The following is a 16,647-nucleotide window of genomic DNA, read 5'->3' on the forward strand; positions in this document are numbered from 1 at the left end:
ATCTTTCTGATTCTTGGATCCTAAAGTATCTTCAGCAAGTGAAGCCCAGTTTCATAACCGAAGAGGTGACTCCATCTGTCCTACAGACTTGCAGTGTGAAGCTTGCAATGGTTTCTCTGTATGTTAATTTCTCCATCTCTAGGATGGCCTATGTGGTTCTTACTAACCTCAGAGTGGTATCATGAAGCCACTGAAATGATACCAGAAGAAAACAAGAGTGATTAATCTTCTAGGATGATAAATCTATATTTTCTTCAAATTCTTCATTTTGCATAAAAACCTTTTTCAGAAAAGAATGTTAACATTGGATATATCTACACCTGATTTGACAGTTCCAAACTACACCCCAACCACCCACTTCTGAATGAGAAGAAAAAAAAATCAGAAGCCTGCAATTGTGTAACATGAAAATCTTTTCTGGACCAGGGCCCGTCACTGTGATTTGGCAACACAACTGGCACATCTCTTTTCTCATCTCTTGAAAAAAACCAACAGAGAAAAAAGTACCTTGAGAATAAAGGTAATGATTAATCTGTCAGGCACAAAAGGGATTGTTTTGGGGATTTCGGGTTCTAAGTCGCAGATTCAAACAAATAGCAGCGAACAGGGAATGACAGTTCCACCAGAAGACGATTAAGCCACAGCCTCTAATTGGAACGGCATTTGTACAGTCAGAGACTCTTACCAGACATCTCCAGGAATCTGTGAGCCATTGTCAAAACGTCCATTTTCATCTGGCTGTGAAAGTGAGGACCACAACAGGTAGGTATTGGTAGAAACAGGAGTCCTCAGAGAAGCCCCAAGATGCAGCCTGAGGGAGCAGAAAAGGGAAAAAGCTTCAAGCAGAGACTGGTCTTGAAGAGCAGCTTAGCGAAAGAAACCCTCTCTGAGTTCTTGGGCACGTTCATCTTGATTGTAAGTATTTCCTGATTTCCTACATTCAGACCCAATAATGCCTCCCTAGCTGCCAGGCTGGTAGTGGAGAGTTTTGTTTGGTTTGTTTTATTTAAGTTAATTGGGATCAGATTCATCTTTTCCAGGAAGAAACAAGTTACTAGAGGCTGTTTGACTATTTAGGGGTTGTGATATTAAGTTTTCAATTACCTATTGCATTTACCCACAAAAGTTGATGGGAATGGAAGAGAAGGAGTGAGTGAAGTGCCTTCTTTATTTCAGGTATTTACTTATACTCTAAAATGGCTTTGTGATTTAAAAGTCAGTCGTTAGTGTTTTCATTGATCAATTGATTTGTACCCTGCTTGCTTCCTCCAAGCATTGGGGTGACTCAGCCACCTGGAATAAGCATCAATAGTCAATAAATATAGTTGGCAAAAATATACATATGGATGGCAAGAAACATCTCAGTATGACAAGTACTTGACAAGTATTGTGCTGTCAGATCACTTGATTTTTAAGAAATTAAAAATTGCACTAGGTAGAAATAGTGTACCAGGCAATAGTCCAGCTTTAGTTTTGTGTCATTTTTGGTCTCTATTTAAAGCAAAGTAATCTCTAAATATCTTTGGAGATTTACAAGACAATTACAAGAACCTTCTAGATATAAACGAGGGACGACTTCTAAGAACCTCTTGAGGATTGCCCAGAGATTTACTCAGCTATTAACAAGAGACTGGAAAGTTTACTTAAGTGGTCTGGGCTTTCATTTTGCTGCACGTTCTAGCATTCTCTGTATCCTGAAGTTTTACCTGGAACCAGGCCATTTGTGAATAGAAATGTATTATCATGTGGCAACTATTGATTTCAACTGGTTTTTTTTATCCTGCTTAAGGATTTCCTACTCCAGGTATAAATAATTTCATTTTCCTTAAAGTTATAGAGAATAGCCCATAAACTCTGTGCATTAAAAGTTCTTTGCTTGGGGCAAATACATAATAATTTAGAAGAATAAGCTTGGAATGCATCAGCTAAGCCAAGAATGAGAAACAAATGTGAACTCAAAAAATTGAACTAGTGGAATGTGAAGAGAGAGTCATAAGTTTTCTGGTCTCTGAGAAACACATTAGACCAGATTCGTTACAGTATTTTCAGGGAGTTACGGACAATTTCTTGCACTCCTCATCTTCCCTTGGCATTCATTCCTGGCTGCTCTGACCACACTCACTGTCATAATGTAGCAAGACATTATGTAGTAAGACATTATGTAAGTAGTTATTTCTAACTAAAATAAAAGAAATAAAAGAGAGAAGATGAAAGTCAGTGATTCTTATGATTCCCGGTCACTGCTTACTGGAAAATCTTTCTTAGTGAGACTGAGACCCCTCTGTCATGTTACTTGACAATCTGGCCCCAAAGAAGCAGTTGTCAATACAGAGTGATTACAGCCTCACAGTGACGAGTGAGTCAGAAAAGTGAAGCAAATTCAGTTACAATTCTTAGTGCTCTGCAGAAAACAGAGGAGGAAATGAACTACACATCTTTTTTTTTTTTTTTTTGCAACCAAAAAGTTTAAAACCCTCTGTATTTCTTAAGAAGAACCTGTTTCATAATCCCGTGCTTTCTGTGTTGAAAGTGAAATTTGCTTTCAGCAGTTCACTGTTCAACTGGCCTTGTGTCTTCCCCACTATGCAAGGTAGGGGCTAAATAAAGAACATCTTGATATTGTCTGTTGAAAAATTAAAACTTGTATGTTCTGGATAAAGCCAGTCATTTCCTGAAATATTTAATTTCCATTTATACTATACATTTATTTTCTAAAGTGAACCCTAATAAAATCTGCAACCTTGATTATCATCTTCAGTTTTGTTGGAGCTTGTGGGGATGTATAAACAAAAAGTTCCTGCACAAACACAATTTTTTTAAACCAAGAAATCTACATGGTTTTGCTGAAAGTTTATCCAAAGTAATTTTCTGCTTTATTAGAGAATGTGCATTTTGCCTTGTATTTTCTAGTAAAAAGCTTTGTACATTGATAAGGCAAAGGGAAGGGGAACATCGAAAAGATGGCAGAGGATATAAAGGACTCAGTCTTTCAAATATGTGAGATTGTTTTTTTTCCGCCAACCTTGGGAGTCTGGTTCTATTTTTTTTCCCTCCTTTCAAAAACTGCTCTTATGGGGAGCATCTCAAACTAATCTAACACCATGGTATAAATTACGGGTCCCCAACACATGGGCCACGGACTGGTACAGGTGGTCCCTGGTGCTAAAAGGTTGGGAACAGTTGGTATAAAGGACTGATAAGGCCTACTGGTAGCATTAAGAGAAAAGAAGGTCCATGAAAAATTCTTTATAAACTACAACTAAAACCAACAACAATTAAGTCATAAGCCAAAAAGCTAGCTCTAATTTGGCCTTTTAGTCATTGGGATACGTAGGCCTTTCACCTTTACTAGTGTGGGGGGAAAGTTTGCAATGCAAAAGGCTGATCTCTTCCTTGGGCTGAACTTCAGAGAATCTCTAGTCATGTCTAGTCATTTCTCACAGGGACTATGCTCACTCCTACTACTCTATATATTCTCCTCTCTCTTCAAACTTTTCAGGATTCTTTGATACAGAGCTCATCTTATTGAAGATGCTGAAGTGAACAACCCAGCAAGCAGCTGTATTTCCTCCTGAGGTGGAAGGACAGCTTTCCAGGGCTGGACTTTTGAGTAGATAACATACTGTGTAGTCGGACAGATGCTGAATTCTTTTCTCACCCTGTCAAGCTTCCGCATTAGAGGTCTAACTTTTGGCATCTCTTAGAATGGAAAAAAATGCAAGTACTTCTGCTAAAAGTAGTACCCTTGATCTTTACCTTCAGTGCCCTGAAGGAAATAGAAAGAAACTATCCTGGAACACAGACTATGGAGGAAATAGGGGAGTGGGCAGTACAGGAAGGAGGAAGGAAGGACAGGGATGGTTGATTGTATGTGAGAAATTTCAGACACTGCAGTGTTCCCTTCTTCCTGCTCCTACCTTCCACCAGGACTGGGTGAGAAATCATCCCTCCTTGCTGGGGTCACAGAGTTTGTCTCTCCATTTTGAGAGGATTCTCAATCAGACATGCTGGTTATAGACACTCTAGGGCTTTAAAATTATTATTACAAAGTTTGTTCAGATCTTGAAGTAGGTCTATTCTATCTTAGGGAGCTTTTGAGACAAAAGAATCTATGGTCAGGATTTAGAGTGAAATCAGAAAGTTTATAAGCCAAATTAAAGGAAACGTCCACTTTGCAGGGCAGAATCCAGGACAATTTTGGTCTAGTACATTATTTGGAATGCCCAGGTACTGGCAGGAGAGCTCTGAGATAAGGGTGGGCAGATATCACTGGCCCTTTTTATTGGTGGAGAAGCTGAGCTCAGGCTGATGTAATCATGCATCCCGGGAATCAGCCCAGAGCCCAGTTGCCCTGCCCTGGGCACACACTCGCCCTTGGACTTCCACTGTGCTCTTCCCTTGAGCAGCACAGAGTGTTCGCTTGTCCAAATTCTCGTTCCTGTTTGAATGTTTCCTGAAGAGAGAGAAAGGAGAGCGATCAACTGCATTTTGCCAGATGGAGAGACAAGTGTAACACAATTAAGAGACTTATCAGCCCTTGAATGAAAGAGCTGGGCTTGGTATCTTGACTCCAGTCATTCCCTAATACCATCATTTGATGAGAATTAACTCCTTTCATGTGAAAGCCCAAGCGAACTTGACAAAGTTTACAGTTTAAAATACATTAGCAGTGTCAAAAGATGATTTTACAGAACAGACGTGATCGTGGTGGGGATATTTTACAGGAGATCTGCTAGCAGAGTCTTGGGATCTCTTCACCACCTACAAACACATTCAAACCTCAGGTAACACCAGGGTTCTGAGGTGGCTCAGTGATGTCTTCAGCTCTGATAAACACATTGACCAAGCATTGCACTGTGTTTTTCCTCTAGTATTTCTGTTTTCTAGCTTTTCCTCAAGACCACTCTTTTGGTTCAGAGCAAAGGACCTATAGGAAAGTGGGCCTCAAGAGACCCCATAACTTCTCTGTCTTGCTTTCTGGCTCAACAGCCACCTATTCTTTCTCTGTTTCCTCCATGCTTGGTTCTTCTAGCTTGCTATTTTACAAAACCATCCATCTCTCCAAGTCTAGGGTGCCCAGGACTGAGGGTCACATGGAGCTAGAGCTGTCAGTTGGCCAACAGATGCTAGATCAGAAGCCCCTACTGTCAGCAGTGCCCTGGATTCTGCCTGTGGGTGGTTTGTCTGTCCAAGTCGTGCACCATCCTCAGGCCCTCGCTCAGAAACTTTGGAATAAGATGGTCTCTGTTGCCTGACTCTTGCATCATTCAATTGAGAGAACAGACACCCACAGTCTTGCAGCATTTTATCAAAAGCTCTTTCCACCACAGCAGAACATCAGAGGATGTCTACCGTCAGTTTTACCTGCCTCTTGTTATTATGATTTATGTTCAATGCTCAGTCCTTCAAGGATTGGTACTTCTGTACTTGGGAGTTCTGTCCCTTTAAGAACGTCTGAGGTTCTAAATCTGAACATGCAGAAGTGCTAAACACTGGGGATTCTCCTTAGATCCTTGCCTTGAAGCAAGAGTTTAAAGACTCGAGGCTGTCTTCTGTCAAATATGATGACGAGGACAAGAGAGGGCAAAGGAGGTTAACACTAAGCATACTCTATACCCCAGACACTTTGATCCTTAAACTAAATCTAAACTAAATCTAATGAGGTAAAGATACTGCTCTCATTTTATAGATGAGGAAATTAGGACTTAGTATGTTTAAGTCACTTGACCACAAGCAAGTGTGTGGTGGAGCTGAGATTAGAATCAAATCTCTCCAGTTTCTCTTAACCACGCTACAGTTAACATTCTAATATATGCTTTTGAAGTTTTACTACAGTTGCCTATAAGAATATATATTATAGTTTTATATGTTTAAAAATTTACATATATAGCTTCATAGCTTATACATCTTCTCCAATTTGAGACTTTTTCCCAGAGACACTTTCTGAAATTTATTAATTTGGGAACATGTATGACTGGTTTATGTACCCATCGCCCTCTCACTATTGATTACAATCACCAAGACTGCTACATTGAACATCTTGGTACATGTCTCCTTGTACACATGTTCACGAGTTTCTCTGGAGTATATACCTAGAAGAGGACCTGGTGGTCCTAGGGTATGTGCATCCTCAACTTTATGTGTATTATAAAATTGCTCTCCAAAGTGATTTCAAAGTTGTACTTCCAGTAGCGACATGAGTTCCCATTTATCACATACTCAACCATCCTTGATATCATCCAACTTTTATATTTTGCTAATTTGAGAGAGAGAAAAATGGAATTTCACTAGTAATTGTACTCAATTCCAGTGCAGTGATTATCTTTTCATGTATTTACTAAACGTTTAGGTGCCTCTTTTGTAAATTGCCTGATTACAGCCTCTGCACCTTTCTCTTTGGGATACTTTACTTTTTCTTAATTGTTATAGGATATTTATATTTATTTTAAATCCATACATTAAGGTATTTTGTGTTTTCTTATTGAGGTTTAATATTTTGCTTTTCATATTTGTGTCTTTAAATAATTAGAATTTATTTGGTGTATGATGTGGGATTGGGGTCTATTATCTATGTCTGCAAGGATAGACAATTGTCCCAAGGCCAGTTTTGACTGTCTATCTTTTCTCCACTGATTGTGATGACATTCCTATCATACACCTGTTCACACGCATATGTGGTTCTATGCCTAGACTATTCAGTGCCATTGATCTGTTTGTCCAAACTTGCACTACCTCATATACCATTTTTTTTGTTGTTGAGAACATTGTTTGTTGTTGTTGTTGTCTTTCTACTTTTATTACCAAGGTTATATTAGACTCATGAAATGAATCAAAATTTTCCCTTTTTTTCTATTTTCTGGAGCACTTTGTAAAATGGGAGTTATGTATTTCTTGAAGATTACTCAGCATGTGCACGAAAAAAGAGAGGGATGGACAGATGACAAGAAAAATTTCTTTAAAAGTTACAGGTCTGGCCAGGCGCGGTGGCTCATGCCTGTAATCCCAGCACTTTGGGAGGCCGAGGTGGGCGGATCAAGAGGTCAGGAGTTCCAGACCAGCCTGGTCAATATGGTGAAACCCCATCTTTACTAAAAATACAAAAATTAGCTGGGCATGATGGCATGCACCTGTAGTCCCAGCTACTCAGGAGGCTGAGGCAGGAGAATCGCTTCAACCCGGAAGGTGGAGGTTGCAGTGAGCTGAGATTGCGCCACTGCACTCTGGCCTGGGCGATGAAGTGAGACTCCATCTCAAAAAAAAAAAAAAAAAAAAGATAAAAGAAAAAAACTCTACTATACCTGAGGTGACATCCTCTTTTCAATTTTTAAAAAGAAGTTTGTTTTCCATTTCAGTAATTTCTGCTTTGATCTTCCTTATGTCCTCCTATTGAGTTGATCAGCTTTCTTTATTCTTGCCTTTTCTCCTCTGTGTGCCCTTTCTATTAACGTATTTACCCTTAGGCTGGGCACAATGGCTGATGCCTGTAATCCCTGCACTTTGGGAGGCCGAGGCAGGTGGATCACCTAAGGTCAGGAGTTCAAGACCAGCCTGGCCAACATGGTGAAACCTGGTCTCTACTAAAAACACAAAAATTAGCCAGGCATGGTGGTGTGCACCTGTAATCCCAGCTACTCAGGAGGCTGAGGCAGGAGAATTGCTTGAACCTGGGAGGCGGAGATTGTGCCAAAGCACTCCAGCCTGGGCAACAAAATGAGACTTTGTGTCCAAAAAAAAAAAAAAATTACCCATATATATATATATTTTTTAACTTAAAGTAAATCAATTTTTCTTCTGAACAACACAAAAACTTTAAAAAATTCTAACTCCAATCAACCACTCTATCTTACATGTCATTGTTGTCTAATATTTAAATTTTTCCCTCATTATTATTGTTGTTACTGGTGTTTTAAAATAAATATTTTTGTTTGCTTATTTAAAAATGCATTCCTATCATTTACTGGTTTATTTGCTAATCATTACTGCATACACCCACTACTTTCTCTTGGGTTCTGTCTCCTTATTCTTGCAGTTCTTCCTTTAGAAAATTTTTCAGGAAGGGTGTGTGACAGATGAACTTTCTCAGTCTTTGTCTGAATGTGTCTATTTCATGCTCAAGGTTGAATGATAAATTAGCTGATACATTTTAGGTTGATAATTATTTTTGCTTGGCATTTTTCAGGTGTCTCTGTCATTTTTCCAATGCCTCTGTTATTGCTGTTCACAAGTCTCTGGGTCTCATTTTTGTCCTTAATAATCTGAATTTATCTGGTAACTAATAAGAGTTTCACTTTGTTTTTTTATTTTGAAATTTCACTATTATGTGCCTAGAGGTGAATTTATTTCTAGTTCTTAACTCATTTTTCATCTTCAATTTAAAGGGTTATAATATTTACCAATTCTGGAAAATTTTCCTCTTTATTACCTTGCCTTTCCCCCAGTCTGTTTTCTCCTTTTAGAACTCCTACTATATTGGTATGCATGTTGACTCTGTCATTTTTTTATGCCTCAACCATTTTTTTCATATTTCTTCTCTTATTCTCTTAATCCATGCTGAATTTTGTATAGTTGCTGTTTCAAATCTATCTTTCAGTTCACCAATTCCCTATTTGGTTCTATCTAATCTTCTGTTTAACACGTTCATTGAGTCTTTAGTTTCACTATCTTTTCATTTCTATATGTTTTATTTGGTTCTTTTTTTCTTTTAGTTTCTTTTCTTGTGTGCTTATTTCTTTCATTTCCTTAACTCACCAAAGCCTAATATATTTATAATATTTTAAACCTGTTCTGTCGTCTCGAGTTGCGGGGGAGTGAATCATTCTGCCTATTTTATCTACTGACTCTTATTCATAAAGGATCTTTTCCTTTAGTGTTTTATACATCTGTATTATAAATTCTTCAGGGAGATTTATTTTTCCCTGTGGGAATTCCACGTGGCCTAAGGTGTGGATTTGTTCTTCCAGAGCAGGTTTGCATTTGCTTCTGCTGGGTTCCCCAGGTATACCGCCAGCCAGAAATGATTGCTGTGGAGTGGCAAACTGAAAAGAGAAGCCTGGGGGATGCAGGTGCCTGTTGAAGAGCACTCTCCCAAAAGAACGGCACTCTGTGACCTTTCTCCCAACTGTGACCGTAAATGACTAAGAGACCTCGTGCTTCCTACAAATGAGGCCAGCTCTTTTGACATCCTTAGACTTTGAGTCACTAGCAGCTGAGGGAGAATTTTCCTACAGACTTCCCCCTATCAGCAATGAACGTGGAGGACCAGGCTCACCTGGGAAATCTTACAGTTTCAAGGCGCTTGGGAGAAAAGTCCGTTCTGGATCACTGATCTAAGGGCTGCAGACTCCTGGAGCCAAACTTGATTCTGCCAAACAGGATTCTGCTTCTGATTGTGAATTTTAATTTTACCCAGAAAACTCACTGTTTTCATTGACTTTCAAAGGGGAAGTATTTTTTTTTTCTACTTTCCAGAAGTGGGTTTCGTCAGTTTTTCTTTAGTGACGAATCCCATTGCAACATGTTCTCATTACTTGACGAGAAAGGAAAACATACTAATGAGAGCAGAAGTTGGCCCTTATTTACTCATCAGCCCTGTGAAAGTGACCTAACAACCCACAGATGGTTCAAATGGCTGAAGCAGTTCAACCGTGAAGAAATTAGGTGCCCATTATACCTCCAGCAGGCATCTAATTTCATGTCTGGGGCAGGATTGCTGAGTTCACTGAAACTTCTAAGCAAAGCAAGTGATTTAAGAGAAACTATGCCAGCAAAGTGTGCCGGCCCTGCCCCTTGCCCTTTTCTCCATCTCAGTAGCTTGGCTGGTCATGCTAAGATGTGAGCCTAGAACAGTCAGTCAAGACCATAAACGACTTGAAGGCTTAGTCCCTCTCAGCGCACATGCCTTAGAGTCTTTCTGGAAATTCAAGCTTTCTTATGAGAGTACCTCCCGAAAACCCTATGCTTCTATCAACAGGTGATTGGTTAAAAAAATGGGGGTGCATCTATGCAAGACTCCTATTTACCCATTAAATAGAAGGTTTACATGCTAATACAAAAATACTCTAAGCTATTCAAGTAGAAAAAGCAGGCAGAAATGGTATGTGTTAAATACCCTCACCTGTATAAACACATGCACACACACACACACACATATACATGCACACACACAGAGGCACATGCACACTTTTTGACAACATACCAGGAAGTATTGATATTAGTTACCTGTGGAGAATAATATTTAAAATCTGGGGTTGGAAGGAAACACATTTCTTATATTTTATAGTATACCCTTTTGAAATTTAAAAACTTGTACATATTCATATGTATTTTCTTCACCCCCTTCCTCCCCATGAGAGAGCTCACCCAGTAGAGTATGTCTTTTCAAAGCATTTTTGTAGGGAGTTGCTCAAAATCTGTTCTGAAAAACACTAGTTCCAAAAGATGCAAACAAGAATTAAGTGAAAAAAATACATGTGGTCCTTCCCAAATATGTTTGGGAAACACTGGGTTAAACCAAAATAAGCAGTTTTCTCAACTGCAGGAATTATCAGAGCCTTTAATGTTCTCTGTAAATCTCTAAGAGGGGAACAGAATGTAAAGCTGTCTTCAGCTCTACTTAACCACAAACCCCTTTTTTGAGGAGCATCTAATGGAACTAATGATCTGTGAAACATACTTTGAGATTTGCAGACCCTGGAAACACATCAGTCCTCAGAACTCCTCCATATGCAGAGATCTCCCAGGTTGAGAGTGACAAGAGGCGGCCTTGGCACTGTTGGGCCCTGTGGGTAGAGGGAGAACTGTCCTCAGCAACCCCCACTCACACACAGCCCACTCAGAGTCACAGTTATCCTGATGCAAACACAACTTAATTAATAAATGCTTCATTCATTTCTTATTCTGGTCCTTGGGATGGTGATCAAGTTCCCATCCAGGTCAGCATTTGGGATGAGTTGAGGGATGTGAATGCCTGGTGAGGTCAGAAAAGGAGAGCATTGTTCTTTTCAGCCCAGTAGAGATAGTGGAGTTCAATCACCTCTCCTTTCTGAGCTCTGAGTTGGTTCTTGGTGCTTTTTTCTACTTGGAGAGCACTGAGGCTGGCCATGTTCCCATTCACCTGGCTCTCAAATTGCAGATTCCTCTCTTTTTATGAGCCTGCCCTAATATCGCCTCTTTTCAAGTACAGCTGGTTCTTGGGTGATTGACCTCTTCCTGATATTCTGTCAGGCTGCATGCCACCACATATTTTATTTTTAGCCAGAAGATCCAGGTTTCAGTCTTGGTTCTTTGTGACTGTTTTTGTTATGACTGAGAAAGTTTTATTTTGCAATTGGAAAACTAACTGACAGGAAAGCTGTGCATAAATCTGTACTCTGTGCTAATAAAGGAAACAGGCTGACCCACAGAGGCAGCAGCAGTTGTCACAGGAGGAACACTGGGATGGGAATGAAAGAATCTGGCTCCAGATTCAGAAACTGTCACCTATTAGCAATATAGGTCTTGTATCAAGTCACTCAGACTTTCAGTTTTTAACTGGGGATGAAGTATTGGGAGGACTCACAGAAGTAAAGTGCGTGAGAGTGCCTCACCATGGCGCAAATGCCATGTGAATGTTTCCTCCTTCACCTATTGCTGGTCAAAATCATGTGCAGTCAAACCTTGGCCCCAGCACGTACCACTTATGGGAATGTGAGAGCAATTCTTTTAACTTCTCTAAGCTTTGGTTTCCTAGTTTGTAAAATGGAGACAGAAAGAGAGCCTTAGTCATAGGTCATTGTGAGGACTGATGGGCTAATGCATGGAAAGTGCTCAACTCACAAAATTTACTCAATATAGATTAGTTGTTATTGGTATTATTGTTATCTTCATATGTTCAAAAGGCTATAGTCACATAAGCTGAATAGGAGGGAATAAACAGGTGGAGTAGGATGGATGGGGGACTTCTCTAACACACACCTATAGCACAGGCTGGAGGGCCAAGGTTTGCAGAGAGTGCTGTGCTGACAGATTGCCATGGATTCTCCTTCCTCTCCAGTTACAAACTTATAGGAGCAGGGAAGCCTCTGGTAAGCCCTAAATGACTCCCTTCTCAAGAATGGGGATTGTGTTTTTTGGAAACACTATGGCCACCACCTTAGACAAAGTTTTGCCTATAGGCAGTCCTTCCTTTGATGGTAGCCACAGATGCTTTCTCCAGGAGCTAGGACTGCATCCCAGCCCAGGTGTGTTATCACCATGGTATCTGCAAGGCCAGGAAATCACTGGCACCAAAAGCTTAATGGTTTCCTCTTCCCAGACCTTAAGACAGGAGTCAACAGCTCCAAAGGTAAGTGAGACCGAACAGGCAACACATATGAGTGATGTGGGCATGGTGGAGTTGCAGGGAAATGGATAGCGTATGCCCTGTCTCAGAGGGGCATTTGCCATTCAGACCCACTCCACTGTGGCCTTACCCCATTCTTGCATCAGGAGTTTCAATTACTTGAGCTCACCACAGCCTGATGGAAGGTAGTCGCCATCGCAATTACCTTAGGCATATACTTCACCCTCCTACAAGTTTCAGAATATTCCAAGGCCCCTTTTACTATCTCTGATGGAATTTATGGCTCAACATTCTTTATAGCCACAGGCTTTCATGGACTTCACATCATTATTCGGTCAACATTTCTCACTATCTGCCTCCTCTGCCAACTAAAATTTCACTTTACATCTAACCACCACTTTGGCTTTGAAGCCGCTGCCTGATATTGACACTTCATAGATATAGTAAGACTATTCTTATATGTCTCTATCTACTGATGAGGATCCTACTCTTTTAGTATAAGCAATACCATTGACTTCCAATCAATAAGCTTTGATAATATTTGAAAAAGAGTAATTAGCTTTACACTAGCCCTAGTGACCGACACCTTACTAGCAATTACATTTTGACTCCCATAACTTAATATTTATATAGAAAAATCCAGCCCTTATGAATGCGGATTTGACTCATTAACCTCTGGCCACCTTCCTTTCTCTAGAAAATTCTTCCTAGTGGTCACCACATTTCTCCTGTTCAACTTAGAAATTGCTCTACTACTGCCCCTGCCATGAGCCCTTCAAACAAACAACCTGACACTAATAATCAGCACAGCCCTTATACTAATTATCATTTTAATCCTAGGCTTGACTTATGAATGAACCCAAAAAGGATTAGACTGAATTGAATTGGTAGATAGTTTAAGTTAAAATAAATGATTTCGACTCATTAGATTATGATAGACTATATTTACCAAATGCCCTTTATTTATATCAATATTATATTAACATACACCATAGCATTGCTGGGAATATTAGTCTATCAATCCCACTTAACATCATCCCTATTATGCCTAGAAGGTATAGTATTATCAATACTCATTATAATTATTCTTATAACTTTAAATATACATTTCACTCTAGCATCCCTAATCCCATTAGCCTCCTATTATTTGTGGCCTGCGAAGCCGCAGTATGCCTTGCCTTACTAGTTTCAATCTCCAACACATACAGCCTAGATTATGTACAAAATCTAAATTTACTTCAATGCTAAAAGTTATTATTCCAACAATTATACTGTTACCACCAACATGACTCTGTAATAACTCCATAATCTGAATTAACATAACTATCCACAACCTATTCATCAGCCTCATTACTATATCTTACCCAATTAAATGATAATTCATCTAACTTCTCACTAACTTTCTCCTCTGACCCACTAACATCACCCCTTCTAATCTTAACAACCTATTACCTCTTGTAATTCTAGCAAGCCAACATCACCTTTCCAATGAGTCACCCCCACAGAAAAAACTCTGTAATAGTTCTCTTCCCCTACTTATCACACTTACCCATACTCAAAATACCTTGGGTTCACTAAACATAATAATAATAATAATATTTACCACCCAAGAACTATTAACTTCCTGATCTAATAATCTTATATGACTAGCATGTATTATGACTCTCATAGCAAAAATACCTCTATATGGACTTCACCTATGACTCCCCAAAGCCCACGTGGAAGCCCCTATTGCTGGCTCAATAGTACTTGCAGAGGTACTCCTAAAGCTAGGTGGCTATGGTATTATACGGCTTACCCTTACCCTCAACCCCCTAACAGAATATATAGCCTACCCCTTCCTCATATCCTTATGGGAAATAGTTATGACAAGCTCTATTTGTCTATGACAAACGGACTTAAAATCACTATTGCATATTCCTCCATAAGCCATATAGCACTTGTTATTATGGCTATTCTCATTTGAACCCCTTGAAGCTTTACAGGTGCAGTCACCCTTATAATTGCCCATGGAGTCACTTCATCTTTACTATTCTGCATAGCAAATTCAAACTACGAGCGAGTCCATAGCCGAATTATATTACTTATCTGAGGCCTTCAAACACTGCTTCCACTAATAGCCTCTTGATGACTTTTAGCAAGTCTTACTAACCTTGCCTTTCCCCCTACTATTAATTTAATAGAACTCTTCATCACTATGGCTTTATTCTCTTGATCAAACATCACCATTATGCTTATAAGACTTAATATACTAATTACAGATCTTTACTCCCTACATATACTAATCACAACACAATGAGGGACACTTGTGTATTACATTAACAGTATTAAATGCTCATTTACACAAGAAAATACATTAATACTTATATACCTTGCACCTATCTTTCTATTATCCTTAAACCCTAAGATTATTATGGGGTTTGCATACTGTAAATATAGTATAACCAAAACATTAGATTGTGGATCTAATAACAGAAGTCTGAAACTTCTTATCTACTGAGAAAGTATGCAAGAACTGCTAACTCATGCTCTTATTATACCACTATTATAAAAACACTAGTTCCCTTAATCTTACCAATTATTACTACCTTAGCCAACCCCTGCAAAAAAGATTGATACCCATACTACGTAAAAATATCTATTGCATGTGTCTTTATTACTAGCCTCATCCCTGTAACAATATACATATTCATAGATCAAGAAATAATTATCTCAAACTGACAGTAACAATTCAAACTCTTCAACTCCCACTAAGCTTCAAACTAGACTACTTTTCCACAATATTTATCCCAGTGGCACTATTTGTTACCTGATCTATTGTAGAGTTCTCAATATGATATATAAACTCAGACCCTAATACTAATCAATTTTTCAAATATTTACTCATTTTCCTCACGATAATATTAATTCTAGTTACCACCAATAATCTCTTCCAACTTTTTATTGGATGAGAAGGTGTGGGAATTGTGTCTTTTTTACTAATTGGCTGATGATATGGCCGAGCAGATGCTAATACAGCAGCCCTCCAAATGGTCCTGTATAAACGATTGGCGATATTGGCTTTATTTTAGCTATAGCATGATTCCTCTTATTTTCCAACACATGAGAGCGTCAACAAATATTTATTCTAAATCTTACCCCCAATTCCTTTCCACTAATTACTGTTCTCCTGGCAGCAGCAGGAAAGTCAGCTCAATTTGGCCTTCATCCCTGACTTCCTTCCACTGTAGAAGGCCCAACCCCAGTTTCAGCCCTACTCCACTCTAGCACTATAGTTGTACAGTTTTTCTACTTATCTGCTTCTACCCTTTAATAGAAAATAATCTATGAATCCAAACCTTTACATTATGTGTAGGGGCATCACCACATTATTAACAGCAATTTGTGCTCTAACACAAAATGACATCAAAAAAAAAATCGTAGCATTCTCCACCTCAAGCCAACTAGGCCTTATAATAGTCACAATTGGTATTAATCACACCTAGCATTTCTTTATATCTGCACCCATGCCTTTTTAAAAGCTATATATGTTCAGGATCCATCATCCATAATCTCAGTGATGAACAAGACATCTGAAAAATAGGAGGACTATTCAAGACTCTACTCCTCACTTCCTCCTCCCTTATCATTGGCAGCCTCACACTTACAGGTATGCCTTTCCTCACAGGCTTTTATTCTAAAGACCTCATTATTGAAACTGCAAACACATCATACACCAACGCCTGAGCCCTTTCTATTACTCTTATCGCAACCTCCCTAACAGCTGTCTATAGTACCCAAATTATTTTCTTCGCTCTGATAGGACAACCTCGCTTCACAACTGATTATTATTAACAGAAATAACCCTTTCCTAATTAACCCAATTAAGCACCTAATAATCGGCAGTATCTTCGCTGGATTCCTCATTACCAATAATATTGTTCCCACTTCATCCCCCTAAACAACTATGCCACTTCGCCTAAAACTCACAGCCCTAGGTGTGACCACCTTAGGCCTCTTACTAGCAATAGAACTAAATTTTATAACTAATAACCTTAAGCTAAAGTATCAATTACAGACTTTTAAATTCTCCAATATACTAGGTTTTTACTCAGCCACCATCCACTGTACAGCTCCCCCAACTCAAGTCTATTTACAAGCCAAAATCTGGCCTCACTTCTACTAGACATAATTTGATTAGGAAAGTCCATACCAAAAACCATTTCACAAACTCATATAATCAGCCTCCATTACCATACCTGCCCCAAAAGGCCTAATGAAACTCTATTTCCTCTCCTTTTTTATTTTACCTCTTCTAACTCTAATCTTAATTACCTAATCATCACCCT

General features: G+C 39.1%; 1 protein-coding gene and 4 pseudogenes across 3 annotated transcripts in view; all 5 read left to right on the forward strand.

Moving 5' to 3' along the window:
- The window catches only part of AQP9 (aquaporin 9), a 47,743-nt gene continuing 31,503 nt past the window's right edge, over positions 408 to 16,647 (forward strand). For 2 of the 3 annotated variants that reach the window (NM_020980.5, NM_001320635.2), the window contains exon 1: positions 620 to 915. In NM_020980.5, coding sequence (NP_066190.2) covers positions 805 to 915 — 111 coding nt within the window. In that variant the 5' untranslated portion in view covers positions 620 to 804. Of the gene's footprint in view, positions 521 to 619; positions 916 to 16,647 lie in introns of those variants that run through there. The other variant, NM_001320636.1, reaches the window with a different exon arrangement.
- MTCO3P23 (MT-CO3 pseudogene 23) lies at positions 12,514 to 12,802 on the forward strand (annotated as a pseudogene).
- Positions 12,874 to 13,201, forward strand: MTND3P12 (MT-ND3 pseudogene 12; annotated as a pseudogene).
- Positions 13,461 to 14,844, forward strand: MTND4LP23 (MT-ND4L pseudogene 23; annotated as a pseudogene).
- Positions 14,845 to 16,646, forward strand: MTND5P32 (MT-ND5 pseudogene 32; annotated as a pseudogene).

The sequence above is a fragment of the Homo sapiens genome, chromosome 15 (genome assembly GCF_000001405.40).
Source record: "Homo sapiens chromosome 15, GRCh38.p14 Primary Assembly".
NCBI lineage: Eukaryota > Metazoa > Chordata > Mammalia > Primates > Hominidae > Homo > Homo sapiens.